This window comes from Homo sapiens, chromosome 22, assembly GCF_000001405.40.
Source record: "Homo sapiens chromosome 22, GRCh38.p14 Primary Assembly".
Taxonomy (NCBI): Eukaryota; Metazoa; Chordata; class Mammalia; order Primates; family Hominidae; genus Homo; species Homo sapiens.
Window position 1 is genome coordinate 19,800,688 of NC_000022.11, and position 20,880 is coordinate 19,821,567.

The 20,880-nt window shown below is 58.0% G+C and overlaps 1 protein-coding gene across 1 annotated transcript in view, besides 2 other annotated features; it reads right to left on the bottom strand.

The window, feature by feature from the left end:
• GNB1L (G protein subunit beta 1 like) overlaps positions 1-20,880 on the bottom strand; it is a 71,652-nt gene that overhangs the window by 17,465 nt on the left and 33,307 nt on the right. Inside the window, exons 3-7 of the mRNA NM_053004.3 lie at positions 20,541-20,688; positions 19,911-20,036; positions 11,598-11,760; positions 5,972-6,070; positions 1,314-1,529 (exon numbers count right to left, since the gene is read on the bottom strand). Of these exons, the coding sequence (NP_443730.1) occupies positions 1,314-1,529; positions 5,972-6,070; positions 11,598-11,760; positions 19,911-20,036; positions 20,541-20,668 (732 nt within the window). The 5' untranslated portion in view covers positions 20,669-20,688. The remainder of the gene's footprint in view (positions 1-1,313; positions 1,530-5,971; positions 6,071-11,597; positions 11,761-19,910; positions 20,037-20,540; positions 20,689-20,880) is intronic.
• Positions 5,800-6,044: a silencer, noted in NCBI's record as "fragment chr22:19794010-19794254 (GRCh37/hg19 assembly coordinates)". NCBI's record gives its function as "represses an EF-1alpha promoter that drives an FKBP-Casp9 reporter gene in an ReSE screen in phorbol 12-myristate 13-acetate-treated (for megakaryocytic differentiation) K562 erythroleukemia cells {active_cell/tissue: K562(+PMA)}" and the evidence as "EXISTENCE:reporter gene assay evidence [ECO:0000049][PMID:32094911]".
• Positions 10,878-11,053: a silencer, noted in NCBI's record as "fragment chr22:19799088-19799263 (GRCh37/hg19 assembly coordinates)". NCBI's record gives its function as "represses an EF-1alpha promoter that drives an FKBP-Casp9 reporter gene in an ReSE screen in HepG2 liver carcinoma cells {active_cell/tissue: HepG2}" and the evidence as "EXISTENCE:reporter gene assay evidence [ECO:0000049][PMID:32094911]".

Consider the following 20,880-nt stretch of genomic DNA (forward strand, 5'->3'; position numbering starts at 1 on the left):
CCCATCCCCAGGACAGCTGACGGATGGGTGAGGGATGGACACAGCTCTCCTGCAAGTCTACCATGTGCCTGCACAGGTTGGTGATGCCCACAGGGCACTGGGGCCGCTCACAGAACCCTGCCCCTCTGTGTATCCTAGTCTCACCAGGGCATGTCCTTCCGCAGCTCCACCATGTGCTTCAAAGACTCTGGTGGTGCCCACTCAGGGGTGGGCCTGACGGACCCGAGGTGAACCCTCCCCGCCCCACAGGGGCCAGGGCTGGGCAAGCGTGAGGCGCAGCAGGCTTGCTGGGGCTGCGGGCAAGTCTGCCCTGCCTGGGGGGCCCGAGGAATGCCCTCTCTGTGGCCTCCTGTCGTACAGACAGCCTGGACCACAGCCCTACAGAGAAGGGCAGCCCCGGGCCCTGTCCTTGGTGAGGCTGGGAGCTGTTGCTGCTTCTGCCAGTAGTCACCTCACGGGACATGCAGCTCCCCCTGGAGGCCCTTCACCCACTAGACTGGGCAATCTGACCACTCGCTGGCTATGGGTCTCAGGCTTCCAAGACTTCTGGTGAATGGGGGCTCCTTGTCCACCCCCCAGAAGCCAGGATGTACCCAGGCCACACCCAGCACCTCATCTCCCATGGTCTCTGCAGCCCCTGAGACTTGCACCAGAGTGAGACCTGGACAGGAGACTCCCCTTGCCCCCACCAGCCTGACCTGATCCCTCCCATCCCAAACAGGGCCACGTGTAGGCCAGGCCACCCTGGAGCCACAGGCCCAGACAGGGACACCACGGTGCCCCTCGAGCCATGCCAGCTAGGAGAGCCCAGGAGACACCATGGGAAGATCTTCAGCAACCGCCAGGTGGCCCTGAGGCTTCCCAGCCTTCCTGCTGGGCTTTCCTGCTGCCCGTGAGCAATGGCCTCCCTCGGGCCAGCTCCAGACCACCACGGGGGCTGCAGCTCCTCGCAGTTTTCCACACTGGTTTTTTTTTTTTTTTTTTGATTAATCAGTTCCTTACTGACCAAATTCCTCTGAGTTTTCACAAAGGGGTTTGAGTATTCCTGGACTCTGCGTGCCTTTCTCTAGATGGACAAGATGTGACGGCATGAACCCGAGGTCTGGGCGAAACCCAAACCATGTGAATGGTCTGCCAGCGCCCACGCCCCCTTCTTCCTGCGCCAGCCATGGACAGCCCCCCTGCACCCGCCTCCAAGTGATTAATTAGCCAGGGATCTGCAACAACTCCTCTTCATGCCTAAATATTGTTTCAGCCTATCAGACTGTTAGTGCAGAGCAGGATAAATGAGACCCGGGGCCTGGCGCACTGACCTGCAGGGCCTGCTGCCAGTCCAGGCTCCAGACAGCCAGCGCCTTCCCCGCGGAGCCTGAGATGCCCCTGGCCTTCTGGGAGTCAAAGTCAAGGTCCATGACGGGCTCCTCATGGCAGGCGATGCGGCTGCACACCTTCTGCTCAGAGACGTCCCACAGGACCACCGATCCATCCTCATAGCCGGCCAGAAGGAGTGGGCGGGAGCTGCAGTCGGCCTGCGGGGAACAGCAGAGCAGTCAGCTCCTGGAAGGACCCTGACTCCAGTGAGTTTCGGGGGAGAAGGGGCTCTGGAAATTCCTGCCCCTCCTGCTGGCTGGGGCTGTTTCCCATGTCTTCCACGTGGCTGCCACAGCTCAGAAGCTCTGCACCGCCAGTGCCCTCCCACACAGCCCCTGGATGGCTGATGCTGTCAGCATGGGACTGGCACGGCTGCCCTTAGGGCACCCCAAGGACATAGGGGTGGAGGGCAGAGAGCCAAGCCCAAGGCCTCCCACTGCTGTACCACTTCTCACCAGCCCTGCAACCTGCATGTGCCCACCCTGGGTTCTGCCCAAAGGGGTGATGCTGGGCACCCACCAGCCACTGTGAGTGCTGCCGACCCTCTCCACTTCTCCCATGCACAGGGACCTGTCCTCCTGCCTCCTTTCCCCAGGCCTAAGATGTGTGGCCACCACTTACTGGGGCTGGTCACCTGTCTAGAGCCGCCAGCCAGAAGAAACCGTGAGCTCCATCTCCATGAAAAATGAACTCTCTGTGCTTTGTCAAAGTGGCTGCCGAAGCCCCTGCCCCTGAAGCCTGGCGTGAGCCGCCCGAGCTCTTGTGATGAATGAGGGCGCGGGTCAGAGGGCTCCAAGCCCTGGGCAGACACCTCGTTTGTTAAGCCTCTGGAATAATTGCAGGAGGAGAGCACTGCAGGATTCCGCATCACCCTGGGGACACAGCCGTCAGTCCCCGGCACCAAGAATGACAGCCCAGAGAAACCTGGCATGGCTGAGCAAGGAGACCTGAGGGAGCCAGAAGGCACCAGGGCGTGTGCCTAACAAAGGGATGCTGAGTCCTCAGACACCACAAGGACCAGGGCTCGCTGCATCAGAAGGCTGGTGATGGGAACCGGGGTAGCCAGGCCCGGAGCCCGAGGCCAACTGCCCTGACCTGGAGGGGATGGCCATGCCAGGGACAGAAGGACACTCACTGTGCCCTGCAGGATGTGGGCATGTGAACCCGAGGCCAGAGCTGGTCCAGTGGTCCTCATACATGTCCCTGAAAAAGACTTGTAAAACCACTGGGTTCTAATAACAGAGTTCACACAGACAAAACTGAGAAGAGTGAGGCTCCAGGAGGAGGCGAGTGGCGGTCAGTGTGTCTTCTCCCGGGGCACCTCCTCCCAGGCCTCATCCCAAGTCATGCCCCGCTGCCAGAGTCCACATTGTCCCTGGGAGGCAGGGCTGCCCCAGGGCCCCGAGTGTACTCAGCCCCCTGCCCCTCCCTGCAGAAGTCCTGGCCACGCTCCTGCGTGTGCTGTTTTATCCCTGGGAGGAGTTCCATGTTGGCACCTTTCAGATCACCTGCTGGGAAATGAGGCGTGCAGGGACCCACAGTACTTTCCTTCCCAACATGGGCACCATGCCTTCTGCACAGAAGCTCCTTGCAGGCAGCCCTGGCTCCCTAGAAGGGCCTCCCCCTGGTAAGTGGTGCGTCTGAACTCACAGTGGGTGAGGGCCAGGCGAGAGCAGCGGGGAACACTCTGCATCCCAACCAGGAATGCAGGCCAACCCCAGAAGCTGACTCCAAAGACTCTCCTCATTGGACCCACTCCCCTCAGGCAGCGCTCTGTGGTGGCACCTGTTCCCAGCCTGTGCCACCCTCCTCCCCGGCACTTTCCTCCACTGCAGGAGCTGAGACTGCCTGGGGCTGCTCCCATCACCGATGTCCTTCTGGCAGTCTCAGAGCCTAGAGCCTGTGTGAAGCCACTGCCTCTGAATTCAGATGCCATGGCCAACGCAGGGACTGTGTGTGTGACTGACCCGCCTGTCGTGGTGCCACAGGGTGGCTGGAGCAGAAGCCAACCTGGCCTGGAGGGGCTTGCCCTGTGGTTGCCAGCCCCTGCTATGCCCCTGGTCCCTGCAGCCCCCTAGTGACAGATACCACAGGCCGGGCAGTCCTCTTGTGGCTGGAGCACTTCGGTGCCCACAGCCTTGATGCTGCCTGACCTCTGCAGGGGAGAGGATCTGAAGTCTCCTGGACCTGTTCTTCTCTGCCCCCTCCCTGCCCGCAGATGAGACCTGGAGGCCAGGCCTCATTCTGCACCCCTCCCATTGACTGGCACCCCCAGAGGGACACAGCAGGTCAGGGGCTGTGGGAAGCCCTCCATGCACCATACCCCAAGAAGCAGGGCAGGGCTGGCTGGAGTGGCCCCTGCCCTGAGGGCTATGCCAGTGACTGCCTCAGGCTTGACGTAGGTCCTGACCTTTTATATATTAATAGCAATTATTCTTATGTTGCAGGTCAGCTGCTTAGAGGAGCAAAATAAGAATATACTAAAAATTAAAAATTAAAAAATTTTTTAAATAAATAAAAATGTGATTGCCCCCCAAAAAAAGAAAACCCTCAATGTTTCAGAAAAAAAAAAAGCAAGTCAGGCCACTGTGCCACAATTGGATTGATAAATTATAACCTGACCCTCAGGCTTGGGGATGGAAAAGGGAACATGTGGAGTTAATGTCGGCTTTTCTTAGCGGAATGCTTCACGCTGGATCTCCATCACCAACAGAAACACGATTTGTCCTCTGTCAACTACATTAATTACCTTAACAAGTTTGTACATCCCTTTCTACGCATTTTTCTGTTGGAATTTTACATGATTGTGCAATGACCCACGTTTCCCAAGGGGTGGAACAGGAGCCGTGCAGACTCGGACACCCTTCCCCAGGACCTGGATGCCCTGCCCACTGCCTGCGGGGTTGCAGCCTTGGGGGGCGTTTTTCCTCCCAGCGGAGCCCATGTCAAGCCCTTGGAGGAGCCTTGTGTGGGCACATGGAGCCCAGTGACCCAGGCTCTGCTGCAGTCCCTGTGGCCCGGCTGTGAGCCTGCTGGCACCGAGTTTCATCATCTCAGGTGAGCCTCCCGGAAGCCACCCTGCCTCCTGTGAGGGCTTCTCCCCAAATGGCCACAGCCACAGAAGCAGCACTACAGGATCAGTCCACGGGAGACCCCAAATTCCAAGTGAACCTTCTCAGTCAAGAAACCACAGGGGGAAGCTGACTGCAGTAAGGGGCGCCCACTTTCTGGTCACGTGGAGAGAGAGAAAAGCTGGGGGCAGGGACTCTGGGGGTACCCATCCCGGTGGGCCTTGCAGGGCATGCAGATGCCCACAAACTGCACAGGCCCATCCGGTCTCGCTCTCATGAGGAGGTCAAAGAGGCAGCGAGCCAGAGTCACCTCCCGGTAAAGGCCCAGCCCAGGGCAGTTCTCAGAGCCAAACAGAAAAGGAGGGTGCCTGGGCCGGGCGCGGTGGCTCACGCCTGTAATCCCAGCACTTTGGGAGGCCGAAGCGGGCGGATCACGAGGTCAGGAGATGGAGACCATCCTGGCTGAGATGGTGAAACCCCGGCTCTACTAAAAATACAAAAAATTAGCCGGGCGTGGTGGCGGGCGCCTGTAGTCCCAGCTACTCAGGAGGCTGAGGCAGGAGAATGGCGTGAACCCAGGAAGCGGAGCTTGCAGTGAGCAGAGATCGCGCCACTGCACTCCAGCCTGGGTGACAGAGCGAGACTCCATCACAAAAAAAAAATAAATAAATAAAATAGAAAAGGAGGGTGCCTGGCATGACTTAGGGCCTGGGAAGAGTGCTGCTGGTGACCCCTTACCGTGGGCTTCCGAGGCAGCTCAGGGCTGAGGGGCTCTTTGCAAGTGAATGCACGGGATCACTTGCTCTGCAGCCCTGGACATGAGCGGCCCCGAGGAGGGCAGCTACACCTTGAGCCAGTGCTGGCCTGAAGGGTGATGAGGGAGGAGACTGGCCTCGAGGAAGCTGTGCTGCATGGAGGCAGCTGGCCCAGAAGAGTCCCTCCCAGCAACCCCGACCTGTGCCCCGGCTGATGCCTTCCAACCCTGTCTAACCACAAAGAACAGTTGAGAAGGAAGGAAATGTTCATGGATCAGAAATTCCAAATGTGGCCTCAGGGAATGTCATTGTGTTAAGTCCACTCCTGCCTCTAAGAGGCAAAGAAGTAATAAAAATCAATCCTAAGCAAAGCGGGGGCCGTGCAGGCTTGCTGCAGTTAGTCAGCGTGGCCTGCCCTGCCCTAAGCACGGCCCAAGTACTGAGGCGCTGGCAGACCCCACTGTCCCCTCCTCACCGCTCACTGGAGGGCACCACGAGCTGCGGGGTGAGCCCACCGGAGCTTGCAAAGGACGAGGACCTGCTGCCACTGCTGCTGGCTGAAGCCAGGCCTCTCCTGGGGCACTGACAGGAGGCCCCTTGCAGCAGCAGGAAGCAGAGGGCCGTGGGGACACTGAGGCAGCTGCACAGGTTCCCTGCGGCAGGGGGGTGGGGTGTTGCCTGAGTGGCTCGACGATAAATCAGATCCTGAATGGAGCATGACTCATGGCCGTGGGTGTGGCCGGCAGGGCGTGGCTGGTGCACGCGGGGCCTTACCTGCCACAGCCGCAGGCACATGGGCATGCCCAGCTTGGCATCTGCCTTCGGCTTCAGGGCGCACACTGACGTCTTGGAGGGCATCTCCAGAATCTGAACCTGACAGTAAGAAAACAAGTTGATTTGGGCCGTCGCCAAGTCGAGTCTGCGCTATACAAACAAGAGACTCTTAAGGCGATTAGCCCGGGCTGCTGTGAGTTTCTGTCTGCTCCCCTCCCCGTGGGCACCTGGGAGCCCAGGCTCCTAATTAGGCTGCATGGGCCCTTGCAAAACGCTCTCACTGTTCCCAGGTCACCGCCTGGCAGCTGCCCCAGCCTCTCCCGACGTTACCGTGCAGGCTGAGCAGGAGGCTGGTTCACTGGCCCCTGACAGAGCCCACCGATTCTCTCTCCTTCCTGGTGTAGGCTTTACATACGAACCAGTGTGAGTGATCTCAGGCATAGCCATGGTTCTAAGACTCGCCCAGGAGCACCTAGGGATTTGCCACCCACTTGAGAAATGAATGTGATGTGCGTCCTCTGAGGGCAGCTCCGGGAAACCTGGCTCCCCCACCTGGACGCCCCGGTGTCCCCTGTGCATCGAGGCTGCATTCCAGGTCCCCTGAACACAGGCCAGGGCCCCCCTACACCTGGGCTGGGAGATGTGCCATGCCGGCTTGTGGGGTGTAGGCTCGCTGGTCACACATCTCCTGAACAGCCAGGTCAGGGGATGGCCGAGGCCACAAGCAGCAGACTGCCAGGTGGTTCTGCTGGAATCCAGGTCCGCCTGCACCCTCTGCCCTCGCTCTGGGAACTGGGGAGGCTCAGCCAGCACTGAACTTCCCCAGGTACAAGCGAGAGCAGCTCACTGGCCCCTGACAGAGCCCACTGATTCTATCTCCTCTGTCTGCTTCTCCTTCCTGGTGCATGTTTTACATAGGAACCACTTGGAATGAGCTACCGATAACACAGCAATAATATCAATGCACAGCCACCTTGGACAGAGCCTGGCATACATGGGGCATCACCCACTTTACACACAAGGAGTCCAAGCCCCTGAGGCTGGGGGCTCTGAGTAGGCAGAACTCATACCAGTTGGTCCAGCGGTCTCTGGCCCCTCTATTCTCCTGAGCCAGGCAGAGGGATCGTGTCTTAGGGGCCTGTGCCTCTGTGGGTGAGAAGCTTGCTGCCCTCACTAACCCACACAGAATAGGCCCGGGACCCCAAGTCTGAATCCCAGATCTGCCACAGGCATGCTATGGGTGTGCTGAGGTCACCTCCGGGCAGGGCAGAGAGCTGGGCCCACAGCCCGGTCCTTCCAGCTACAGAGACCTGCTGAGGCGCCCACCTCCAGTACGCGGACCAGGGCCACGGCGCTTCTTGTGCAGGCTGCTCTTGCCAGGGGCCCCCACAGCAGCTCAGCCTCTGCCAGCAGGGCTTCTGCTCCACTCAGCACCAGGAGCTTAGCCTCTGACAGCAGGGCTTCTGCTCCACTCAGCACCAGGAGCTCAGCCTCCAACACAGGGCTTCAGCCCCACTCAGCCCCAGGGATGGCTCACAGATCTAGGCCCCACACAAACGCATGCACACACACATGCATGGGTAACATGTACACACCTGCACACACAAATAGAGCCTCCTGCCCATCAAGCCCAGAAACCAGGGGCCTCAGGGGGAGCCAACCATCTGACGAAAGGGGCCCCCGGGGAACAAACAGAGCAACATAATGAAGAGGGCAAAAAAGAACTCAGTAATGGGAGAGGTGATTACAGTCAGGAACCAAGAGGCTCAGTGATGGTGAGACCAGGCCTGCGAGCTCTGGGGAAGGTTGTCAAGCCTGAACTCCAAAGCCGGCCAAAATGGTAAGCAGGAGGGTAAAACAGAGGTCTCTGTGGACACCAAGGATTCCTTGCGGAAAAACCGCTCAAGGAGAAGCTCTAGCCACATGGAAATATAGGAACATTGATGTCCAAAAACCAAGACGAGGTGCCACTGAGCCTGGCACAGAAGAACGTGGAGAACCCAGGAGAAGCTGGGGCGGGCTTAGCCGTTCTTTGTCTTCTGCAAGTAACAGCAACTCCGGGACAGGGTTCCTCCTCTTAGGATCAGCATGGCCACTGAGTGAAGAGCTAGAGGCACCAGGGCGGCCTGCAAGGACCAGAGTTATAGCCCATGTGCCACCTCTGTGATCCCAGCTAAGGGAGCAGTGGCAAGCTGTCATTGGGTGTTGCCACCATTGTCCCTTTGCTGTTTTCAGGAAGGGTCTGTGAGAGCCACCGTCAGGGCTGTGGGGAGGGTCTGGGAGGGTGTAGACCACACTGCCTGGCTCACTCCCCACATTTCCAAATGATACGGGAGAGGGGCAGGGAAGTGCTAGGAAGGGAAGTCACCTGGCAAGGGCTCCACCCCCGGGCCTGTCCCTATAGACCTAGGTGAGGACAGGCACTCCTGCCTTCGCACCCAAATGCTGCATTTCCCAAGACCACCCTGGCTCACCACACCCCCATTCTGTGCCTTTAAAAACCCCCAAGACCATAGCAAGCAGAGACACAAGTGGCTGGACGTTGAGAGGACGTTGAGGGGAGCACGGTGGTGGAAGAGCACACCGACAGAGGCTGGCATGCTGGCAGGCCATCAACCAGCGAGCGGAATGAGGTGGAATCTGGCCGGGCAGTTGGAGGAGAGCCCAGGCCACCCAGCAGCCCAACTCCAGGGGAAAACCATCTCCCTTCTGGCTCCCTCATCTGCTGAGAGCTACTTCCACTCAATAAAACCTTGCACTCATTCTCCAAGCCCATGTGTGATCCAATTCTTCCAGTACACCAAGGCAAGAACCCCAGGATACTGAAAGCCTTCTGTCCTTGCAATAAGGCAAGGGTCTAATTGAGCTGACTAATACAAGCCACCTATGGACAGCTAAACTAAAAGAGCACCCTGTAACACACACTCACTGGGGCTTCAGCTGTAAACATTCACCCCTAGACACTGCTGTGGGGTCAAAGCCTCACAGCCTGCCTGTCTGTATGCTCCCCTAGAAGTTTGAGCAGTGGGACACCGAGGAAGCGAAACACACCTCCATTGCACGCCCCGGGAGGGGATAAGGGAACTTTTCCCATTTCACAACCTGTTTTCCCCATATTAAATTGAGAAGTTTTGTTTTGTTTTAAAGTCAGAGTCTCACTCTGTCACCCAGGCTGGTGCCATCACAGCTCACTGCAGCCTTGAACTCCTGAGCTCAAGTAACCCTCCCACCTCAGCCTCCCCAGTAGCTGGGACTACAGGTGTGCGGCCACCAGGCCCAGCTAACTTTTTGCAGAGATGGAGTCTCACTGTGTTGCCCAGGCTGGTCTCGAACTCCTGGGTTCCTCCTGCTTTGGCCTCCTGAGTAGCTGGGACTATGATTTCCTACTTTTTGCACTCCTCTGTGCCAGATTTCTTAAAATAAGATCTGTTCTTCTTGTCGCTATATCAGGAAGATGGGCTAGTTCCAGCAGTTAATGGGGTGGGGAGGTAGGGGACTTAAGCCAGGGGCAGGAGGAGCCGCCCTGAGCACACCTGTGCCTCTGTGGGGTGGGGAGGGCTGCGGAGGAGGCAGGCACTGGCTACACAGCCTACACGGCCATACACAGTCCCCAACCAAGGAAGGCCTGTCTCAATTTGGGCTCCAAAAGACCCCTCTGGGGACAGTGAGGGGACATCAAGGGCAAAGGACTTGAGCAGGCCAGTGAGGGCAGGGGCAAAAGATGGGGGGAGGAGGGGTGCGGTGAGGGCAGAACCCAGGGCAGCCCTGATGCCCCACTCTGGGCGCTGCAGGAGGGAGCGGGGGTGGCGGCGCCTTGAACCACATCCTGGGTGCAGGGGAGTGGTGAGCCCTGGGCCTGAGCACCAGAGGTACACACCACGTCTACCTGGGCTGGGTCCTCAGCCCGGGGCTGCCCCTGCCTGCGCCTGTACTTGGAGCCTCCTACAGACACCCATGAGCTTTCCGCCTGGCACCTGACTGCAACTTTTGTTTCCAGAAGGAAAAATGTTAGGTTTGGGCAAGTGTGGCCACCCAGCCGGCCGAGTGGGGTGGGAGTGCGGCTCCCTGGGCGTTGTCTGGGTGCAGGCCAGTGAGGCTTTCTCCCGCCCAGTCTGACAGATTCCAGGTGGGAATGTGGAAAGCAACTGTTTTCCCAGGATGTGAGAGGTCCCCAGACAGGCTGCCCCGGGAAAAGACAGATGCTGCCCCACAGGGAGAGCTGAAAGCTAGGAGGAGGGTTAGACAGCCTTGAGCACAGGGGACGTGTGGCAGGGGGCAGCGCAGGCTGACCGAGTGCTGGCTGGCGGCCTGGGGGTGGCCGAGACCAGCGCATGGAGCACAGCAGGCCAAGGGAAGAGCTGACTCAAACTCCTGCAGCATTCCTGTGGGTCTGTAGACCTTGGGTCCCGGGGGAGGAAGCACGCCCCTCTTTCTCACATAAATACAACTTGTAACAGGTTTTTGGCAGATTGGCAAGAAAAGTGTATGTAGCTCCTAATTGGTTATTTAAATGCAATGAACAAATAAATGCCTGTTCCTATCTCATTATTTCTGTACTGGATCTGCCTGAAGACAGAACGACTCTCCTTGGGCAGGGGCCAAGCCCAACTGTGCGTGGGGGCCGTCCTGCCCAGTACCAGCCCCAAAGACTGCCCGGGCACAGCGAATGGGGAGGACTCGGCAGTGGGCATGGACAGTAGCCCCCACGTGTGCGCCCCCTATTCCATGGTATGTCCTCCCCATGCCCCGCCCTCGGGCCACCATGCCCCACTCACCAGGTGGGACAGTCGCCACTCAAAGGCTCTTCTCTGATTTCCCTTCAGCTCCCCCAAGAGCTGAGCCTCCAGCCACACCCTCCTCCACTATGACACCCTCCCCGCACATCTTGGGCACCCCTCCCTTGGCAGACCCTGCCTCCTGTGCCACTGGGGGTGTGGATACCACTGTCCAGCTGGGCCAGTCCTGTGTTACCAACACCTCTGGTCATTCTGGCCTAAGCTCCACCTAACAGTGGCCTCCCTGCTTGGTGATCCCCCCACCCCCTGGGTGTTCCCTAGCTCACCTTTCCCCTGAGGACTGTGATCACCACCTTGTGCCTGCACCCACCCATCCCAGCCCTGGTTGTGTGCCCTGAGATACCACCCTCCCTGCTGCCCTGGGTCAGCCCTCCCCAGGCCTCCAACTTCACCAGGGACTTGGTCTCTCTCCCACCGCCTCCTGCCAGCTGCCCCGGAGCGTTCCTCCCACTTGGGTCTAAGGTCCTCAGGGCCTGAGCAGTCTCTCCCCTGCCGTTCCTGCCGGCCTCGGGCCTCCATGCTTGGCCATCCCACGCCACTGTCCTCCATGTGCAGAACTATGCTGGGTGCCCAGGCCTCCAAAACACCGGCCCCTCCCCCAACGCCTCCTGATTCTCCCACTGCCCTGGGAGGATGGCTCATCAGCAAGGCCACCCCAAGGGGACAGGCCCAGGCCTAGCCGGCTGTGCATCAGCCCCGGCTGCTGAAGCTGCCGGCAGGTGGGCGGCTCCATGGAGTCCTGTGGGTAGGCGCAGGCGCCTCCTAATCAAATGCAGAGGATGAGCACAACTGTTTGGAGAACATGGGGCCTCAGGCAGGCTGGCTCTCACCTCGTCGCTGCCCCTCCCTGGCACGGCAAGCGTCCAGCGTGGCTGGCCCCCGGCCAGGATGCTGCTCCGGCAGAAGCCCACACTCTCCAAGCACACGGAGTCCACGACAGCGCTCCTGCCCTCCGCGAGGTCCCACAGGCACAGCTTCAGGTCCCGGCCCTGACTGCCAGACAAAGAGGAGACAGGCCTGAGACTCCCCTTGACAAGTGTCAGCTCCCATGGCCCCTGCAGCGGAAGGAAGGCAAGGCCATGTTTCCAGAGAGTGGGTGCCGTGAGCTTGGATCATCGCAGGTCGGGAGCCTCAGCTGAGGAAGGGCCTCACCGCTCTGGCATTGACACTTGAGCCAGCACCAAAGTGCCCGAGGCCAGGACATGCAGTGGATCAAGGCTGTGGACTGATGGCTGTCCAGCGTGGCCCCGGGGTGGGGGACACCAACCCTGCAGTGCTGCACAGCACAGAGAGCAAACTTCACTGTGTGCACCCTAAAACCAGCAAACTCCCAGGGTGCCAGGATCCCAGGAAGGACTGCAGACTGTGACAAGGGGGAGAACAGAGGGGAGCCAACCTGAGGCATTTTGGGGTAGTGCTCATGACTAGATGCTTATGAGGTTAAAGACAAAAATAACTGTGCAGAAACTGTTCCAGTGGGTGAATTAGTTTCTCAGAGGGGTGCAGGTTACAGTTCTGAATCCTCTCCACGCGTACACCTGGTAGAACAGATGAGGAAACCAGTGGTGGCTCATGGGCCCGGGGTCTCACCACAGGGAGATGTGACGAAGAGGCACAGGGGAGACATGGGCTGGCGGAGTCGAATTAGAATTGTAAAGTCAATATGAACAACGAGTGTTTGGGCAGATGCACAGACAGAAATGAGTACAGACGGGTGTGTAAGCACAGGTCAGCGGGCACCCAGGCGTCTCCCGGTGCTGTCCACTGAGAACACCTAGAAGCAATGACCACACCTAACCCAAGTCTTGGTTTCTTATGCTGTTCTCCAAAAACAGGAACCAGGGCTCTGGAGAAATGGCTGAGTCTAGGGTGGAGTGGAGGAAAACCAAGAGGAGTCTCAAGCATCCTGTAGTGCCAGGCAGTGAGAAATGCTTCAAAAATAAAATAAGGCTGGGTGCAGTGGCTCAACGCCTGTACTCAGCACTGTGGGAGGCCGAGGCAGGTGGATAACCTGAGAGGTCAGGAGTTCAAGACCAGCCTGGCCAACATGGTGAAACCCCGTCTCTACTAAAAACACAAAAAAATCAGCTGGGTGTGGTGGCACGTGCCTGTAATCCCAGCTACTTGGGAGGCTGAGGCATGAGAATTGTTTGAACCCGGGAGGCAGAGGTTGTGGTGAGCCAAGATTGCACCACTGCACTCCAGCCTGGGTGACAAAGCAAGACTCTGTCTCAATAAATAAATAAAAATAAAATAAAGACTGGGTGCGGTGGCTCACACCTATAATCCCAGCACTTTGGGAGGCCAAGGCAGGAGGATTGCTTGAGCCCAGGAATTCCAGATCAGCCTGGGCAAAATAGTGAGACCCCTGTTTCTACAAAAGACACAAAAATTGGCCAGGCATGGTGGTGCGTGCCTGTAGTCCCGGCTACTCAGGAGGCTTAGGTGGGAGGATTGCTTGAGCCTGGGAGGTGGAAGCTGCAGTGAGCCATGATCGAGTGACTGTGCTCCAGGAGACCCTGTCTCAAAAAATAAAATAAAAATAAAAAAGGATCGGGGATGTCAGAAGGACACGGACTCTGAAGCTGGAACAATCTGAGAAATCAAATAAATCATGGTGGTATTAGATTTTAGCCCAAAGAAAGAAGTAAATCTGCATGAGCCCATCCTCATGAGTGAATGTGTATTATGTATCAGAAAGAAGGAATAAACCTTCCTTCCAGCTTCCTATATTCCAATTAAAGTAGAAATCTGCCATGGCTGGGAGGGATGAGGGAAACGAGAATACCCCAGTAATAACAGGTGCAGGCAGAGTCCACAGATGGATGCTAAAATCAGCGGCAAAAGGGTAAGGGTCTCAACATGTTGCCCAGGCTGGTCTCAAACTCCTCGGCTTAAACGATCCTCCCGTCTCGGCCTCCTGAGTAGCTGTGACTACACTCCCCAGATGTTAGTAATTACTGCAGTGGTTTTAACACAGGGCCACACATCCTTGGCTCTCCTCTCCCCAGGAGGTGAAGCTTCCTTTTCTCTTTGCATGTGGACTGCAGCTAGTAAGCAAAAGCTATACCTTGACAGTGGAGTCAGGCAGACACTTCCTGCCCCAGTGACCAGGGTTGTCCCCGGCAAGCCATGGGCCATCAGGGACCCATGTGTTCAGCATGGACTCCGGGATGACAGGATGAGAAACCTCACTTCTGTGGGTTTCTTCCCAAAACCCATCACCCCAGTCTTAACCTGAGAAAATATCAGACAAACCCAACCTGAGGGGCGTTCTACAAAACATCTGGGCGGTAACTCTTCAAAAGTGTCAGCTAGGTGCAGTGGATCATACCTAGAAGGTGGAGGTGGGAGGACTGCTCGAGCCCAGGAGTTCAAGACCAGTCTGGGTAACATAGTGAGACTCCATCTCTACAAAAAATGTTTTTTAAATTAGTCAAGCTTGGTGGCGTGCACCTGCAGTTCCAGCTACTCAGGGGGCTGAGGTAGGAGAATTGCTTGAGCCTGGGAGATTGAGGCTGCTGTGAGCTGTGATCACACCACTGCACTCCAGCCTTGGTGACAAAGCAAGACCCTGCCTCAAAAAAAAAAAAAAGACCAAAATGTTGAGGTCACGAAAATAAGTGATCACACACCAAAAGGGACTAAGGAGACGTGACAGCTCAGAGGATCCCGGAGCAGAAATGTCACTGGTGGACAAACAGAAGAAATTGAAACAAAGTCTGGGTGCCAGTTATTATCATGCACCATGCTCTGCCAGGAGGGCCGTGCGGTGTGCGGTGTGCAGTTGCGGTTGTGGTGCCCACGCCACAGAGAATTCAGCACCACAAAGGCCGATCTGGGCAACTCGGTCCCGTCCAAATCTCCACTGGGGTTTTGGAGAACCTGCCAAACTGATGTCAAAATGTACCTGGACATTTGGAGCACAAAGACGTGCACAGCCCCCGTGGCTCTGCTAGGCGGCAAGGCTCAACATGACACTGCAGGGAGGCCGAGATGGGGGTGTCCTCAGCATGGGGAGGGGCCAGGGCCAAGGGAGGGGAGGTGTGGCTGCACACCACGCTCATATGGAGGGCACCCATGTAAGCCCTGCGGGGAGTGGAGGACTGACTTGTTTTTCCAGGAACTTTAACATTTTTTTTCTTTGAGACAATATCTTGATTTGTTGCCCAGGGTGGAGTGCAGTGGGGTGATCACAGCTCACTGCAGCCTCAAACTCCTCCCTCAGATGATCCTCCCACTTCAGCCTCCCAAGTAGCTGGGACTACCAGCATGTGCCACCACACCCAGCTAATTTTTGTATTTTTTGTAGAGACGAGATTTCACCATGTTTCCCAGGTTGGTCTCGAACTCTGGGCCCAAGCACACCTCAGCCTCCCTAAGTGCTGGGATTACAGGAGTGAGCCACTGTGCCCAGCTTAACTTTTTATTTTGAATCAGTTTTGAACTCACAGGACAGTTGTGAGAACGGCACGAAGACCCCGTATGCCTCCTGCTGCAGTGGCCTGCTTCTCCCGGCCCCTCCTAGCCCTGTGCACACAGGTGAGCCTCTCACCAAGAACTCCACCTTGTCAACACCGCATCCTGACCAAGGGTGAGCCCCGACAGCCCACAGCCATCCTGGGGCGTCGTGGCCTGTGTGGGGCCTCGCGGGGCCCCGGCTGCCTCTGCCCCCTGCATGGCCCCTTCTCTCTCCCTGTCTCTGCCTCTCTCTCATGTCTTTGCACTCCTTCCTTCCCTGGGGACGAGGCCCAGGCCCATATTCCTCAGATGACACCAGTCGTCACGCTGCGAGGCACACGATGTGACCTGCCCACCATCAGGGGTGTCAACCCTGATCGCCTGGTCAGGACCCATAGTTTTCAAAGGCTCATCATCCCTAATTCTGATCATTTATTTTAGTGCTCAAATTGGCCCAGGCTAATGGGAGTCCCTGCAGGCTGGCTCAGAATCCTCTGACGTGGCCATCTGCGAGATGTCCAGACCTAGAATCTGCCATCTCCCGGGGAACCCTCACTCAGCTTAGGACACACAGGCATTTAGAAGCCAGGACCTGGGTGTCCACCTGCTCACTGCCAGAGTGTGCCCCAGCCACCAGGCCCCTCCGCACACGGGCTAGGGAACACACACATGCCTCACATGCATGCACACAACACACAATCACACACACCACACACCTCATACACACCTCACATACATACACACCACACAGGCACCTCACACATACACAACTTACATACACAAACCTCACACACACAACACACAGGTTCTTTCTCACCTTCCCCCTTCTCGTGTCTGTAACTCTCCTCTCTGGGCAGGGACAACCCTGGCCTCTGTTATCCTGGAGATGTTCACTGACATGCCCAACAAGCGAGCCTGCCACCTGCCCTCACCAACCTCCTGGCCTCCCAGGCTGCCGCTGCCACACCACCCCCCCAACCCTGCTTCTTTGACTGCCTGGCACCCCCTTCCCACCCCATCCAAGGGGCACTGAGGTGGGGGAAGGCGGGACCGCTGGGTACCCACATGGAAACCCAGGGCCTTCACTGCACACCGTAGTGAATTCCAGCTGAACCATGGATCTACAAGGGACAACAGTAAAGTTCCTGGGAGACATGGAGAGAGGTCTCTCGGACCTCGGTGCAGGAACTCCCGGCAAGACACAAAGGCACTCTCCATAAGGGGAAAGCCTGGCAGACTTGAATCAACTCCATTAAAATGAGTAACTTTGTTCATTAAAGACACCATTAGGGGCCAGGCACAGTGGCTCATGCCTGTAATCCCAGCACTTTGGGACGCCAAGGTGGGCAGATTATGAAGTCAGGAGATCATCCTGGCCAACATGGTGAAACCCCATCTCTAGTAAAAATACAAAAATTGGCTGGACGTAACGGCACATGCCTCTTATCCCAGCTACTCGGGAGGCTGAGGCAGGAGAATCACTTGAACCAGGGAGTCGGAGGTTGCAGTGAGCCAAGATCATGCCACTGCACTCCAGCCTGGCAACAGAGCAAGACTTTGTCTCAAAAAAAGAAAAAAAAACGTAAGAAAAAGAAAACAGCGACAGCTGACTGCAGCTACATGCAACACACGGAGCTCACGGAGATAAAGTTGAGTGAGAGAAGTCACACACAGATGCTGCTCCTTATGTCTCCACGCTTCCAAAGAAAAAAGCAGACAAAATAGTCTATGCTTTTCAGAGACATACATTCATAAATATAGCAAAAATGAGGCGTGAGGGGCTACCTCCTGGGGCATGAGGGGCTATCTCCAGGGAGAGCAGGTGGCAGCAGCTCAGGGATTCAGAGGCTCGGGGGCCCTGCGCTCTACTTCTTGACTGGAAGGTGGTTGCTCAGGTGCTCACTCAGCCGTAATACAATGCTCTGAACACTTGTCTTGCACTCTTCTGTGAGTACATTATACTTCACAAGAAAAAAGATTAAAAAACACCCTGCCGAGGTGGCTGTCGAAGGCACAGGTGTGTCCTTGGCATGCGGGAGGCTGAGGGCGTCCTCCCACCTCCCATCAACATGAAAGCCATCACTTCCTTCAAGGGCCACTTGGAGAGACTTGGCTTCCAAACACAGCTGAGCACAGGCCGGGTGGCGGCCCACAGGCTCTAGTACAGTGCAGACGCACCTGGCACTCCACACCTGCAGTTTCTGTCCACAGACCCCCTGACCCGTGGCTGGCTCTGCCTGGGAAGCAGCCACTACAGCACCATCCCAGCAGGAAGGGGAGGTGCCCTCGAACGTCAGCTCCCAGACCGCCCACCAGGCCTGGCACAGCTCCTGTCTGCAGGACAGCCTGATACCACAAGGCACCTACGCAAGGGACCACCAAGGGCTACATTGTGGCTGAAAACTCAGGAGGACACTTACAAACAGCAGCTCCTGATGCACATGGCCTGGTGGGGTTCTAGAAATGAAGTCTACTCTGACAATCAAAGACCAAACCCACTCTGAGGCCCCCTGCACCAGTGGTGAGGGATCTGGGTCGGCTTGGCCAGGATGCAGGCATGACCACACGGGGCTCTGCAAGCACACAGGCTCAGGGCCTCTGCTCTTCAGGACAACCCTGGTGCCTTCGTCACCTGCAGCCATCTCCCAGGTGGTAGGCACCGCGTGAGTCTAGCACAGACATGTTTTGCAGACTGGTGGGGGCCAGACAGGCCTCATTCTCCAGGGACTATACTCCACAGTGCCATGAACCAGGCACCGAGTCCAGAGCAGGAGAACAGGCCTGTCCTTCTGGAGTTCTGGGCTGTGATGGTGATGGCACGGAGTTCCCTGAATATGACGCAAGGCAAATCCCAGGACAGCAGCAGGCCCGTGCTCAGGATTCCTGGGCTGGTGGCAGCGATCCCCACACAGGGGCAGATGTCACTCTGATCAAGGACAATAGCCTGCTCCAGCATCCAGGCAGCCCAAAGGAGGACTTGTTGTCAGCCCCCTGCAGGCCTTCCCTGTCCCACCATGCCCTGTCCCTCCCACTCCCCATGGGAAACAGAGAAGCCCCTCACGCACCTGCCCCTGTCTGCTGCTTCCTGGCCTACCTCCGGCCTGGTGTCTCAGCCCCATCACCTCCACAAGACCACGGGGGCGATGTCAGAACCCAGCCCTGGGCTAACCCTCGGGGGCTGCCCCTCCCTGCTCTGCTGCCAGCTGCCCAGCACCCAGCCCCACTGTCCTTCACCACACTCAGAGGCAGGCCCTCCAGGGCCGCAGCACGTGGGGTCTCCCCCACCAGGACTGCCAGGCCCTCTTATTCCTCCGCCACCTCCTGCTTACCCAGCAGCTGCACCAGCGTGTGAAGCAGGGCCCTGTGAGCTGGGTAACCTCAGGATGAGGCTCTGCCACCCATGCAGGAGGATGGTGCGACAGCCACAGGAGGCCAAGTTGTAGAGGGGCTGTGGTGACTGGGACCTGGGCCCATGGGATAGAGGCAGAAGCTCATCTGAGGAGGGGCCTGGGCTCAATGCGGACCCCTGGCCAGGGCGAGCTCTGCTGAAGGCACAGGCTGACACTGCAATGGGGACACAGCCATCGCCATACGTTCACTAGGCTCTTCCCAGCAGGCACCTGGCCAGACAGCACAGCAGTCACGGAGGGTAGGGTCACACTGTCTCGGGATGGGCTAAGGCCTCATGAACCATGGGGGCACCCAGAAACCTGCCCTTGTGCTAAGCACAGGCTAGAACAGTGGGGTCTGAATACCAATGGGGACAGGCCACCTCTGTGGACCCTTCCTGCTGGGGTACAGTCTGGACAAGTAATCCCCAAGTGATGCGTAGGGTACAGAACACACACGTGAGCTCGGGGCCCTGAGGGAGGAGACTGCAGGGGTAGAAACCACAGGAGACACTGCAGGGGGGACCAGGTGGGGAGATGGCCCTCACTACCACGCCCACTTCAGAAACGCAGAAGCACACTGCTGTGGGACAGCACTATACACCCAAGCCCTGCGCCCCGCCCCTGGCCACTCAGCCACCATCTTGCCAGCCACATAGCCGTATGTGGCACAACATCAGGGGCTGGGTCCTCTTGGGAAGAGTCAGGTGCATTGTCATAACCTAGTGAAGGGACACACACGGCCAGGGCTCAGCTGCCGGAACACCCAGCTCCTAGGGCCTCCACCGGCACCGTGTGTGACCTGCCATGCTCATGGCACACGGCCCAGGCAGGATGGGCAGTGGGCAGGGAGGCCCTCCTTGGGACCACTGCCTGCATCCCTGAGCCTGTACTTCATCCCATTCCCCTCCTCTCAGCAAATGCCCTCACCCCTGCCCAGTTTCCCAAGCCACGACCCAGTGCCCTTGTGAAGGCCCTCCCACCAACTTGCGCCTGGGCTCACCTCAGATGTCACCAGCCCTGGAGCTCTGGCCTCCTCACCTGGCACCTCCTGGCTCCAGCTTGGAGCATGAAGGGTCCAGTGGAGATGGTGGAGATGCAGAGGCAGACCTGCCTGCCTCCCTGTGACAAGGGGCTGGACCTGCACACCCTGCCCTTGCTGCGGACCCTTTGCTGGCCCCTTCTGGTTCCCCCACCCCATTCTGCCCCTCAGTGGGGGACACCAGAGCCTCCATCAGAGAGTTCCTGACTCCCCCGAAGGCCATACCTGGCTCCTGCACCTTGGAGACCCACCTGAGGAGCTGGCGCCCCTGGGGCAGCGTCTGCAGCCAGGTCACACACTGGCCGCCGTGGCCATCCAGGGTGGTAACCGCTCTCCGCGTCTGCAGGCTCCAGATGTGTACCAGGCCACTCTGAGACCTGTTTCAGACAAGCCGAGCAGGGTGTCAGGGGGCAGAAGGGTGTGCTGAATGCTCTGGGGCCAGCCTGGAGGCCACATTGTGGGATGCGGGCATCTAGGCTGGTTGAGCTGAAAAGCCAACAGCTCTAAATATGAACTAAGGGCCAAACTGGCAAAGCACTCCTTGCTCCTCTTCCAGAGAGGGGACCGGGGGACCCTCAGGAGCCTCTAGGGGTAACTCAGGCAGATCTGCTTCTCTGGAGGTAGGGGGAGCCATGCCACAGTAATGCACGCTGGGTGGTCGTGCCTGCTCCTGCGTCTGTAACAAAGAGTGTGTGTGTGTGTCCCTGCCTCCCCCAAGGGACAGTGTGTCTGCTGGTGGGTGCTGAAAGCTCAGCAAGCCTGGGTGGCGAGCAGTCCATGCCCCTTGGCCAGCACCCTCAAACAAGCGCTGGGCTCCTTGCTAGCTCACGACCTCCTGACTTGGCCCTGGGTGGCCTGGGGCTGGGGCCACAGCTACTCACCCTGAGAAGAGGAGCGGGCGCCCCTGAGCCTGGGCTCCTTCGCAGAAGTGCAGCGCATGCACCGGTGACTGGGTGCCTCGGAGGACAAACTGGGGGTCTGGAGGTGGCGGCGGGCAGGGGGCCGTCATGCTGGGCAGGATGCAGTTACCTGGGCACCAAGGGAGGGCGTGTGAGTGACTGCGTCCCTATTCTCACCCTCTAGGAAGGCTGCTCAGGCACAGGGGTGCTTGAGATGTTGCCCCTGCTCATTGTCTCTGGCCCTGTGCCCCTCCTGGGAGAGAGGTGCCACTGCTCCCCAGACACTGATGAACGGCCTGTGGCTACAGAGGCACCAGTTCCC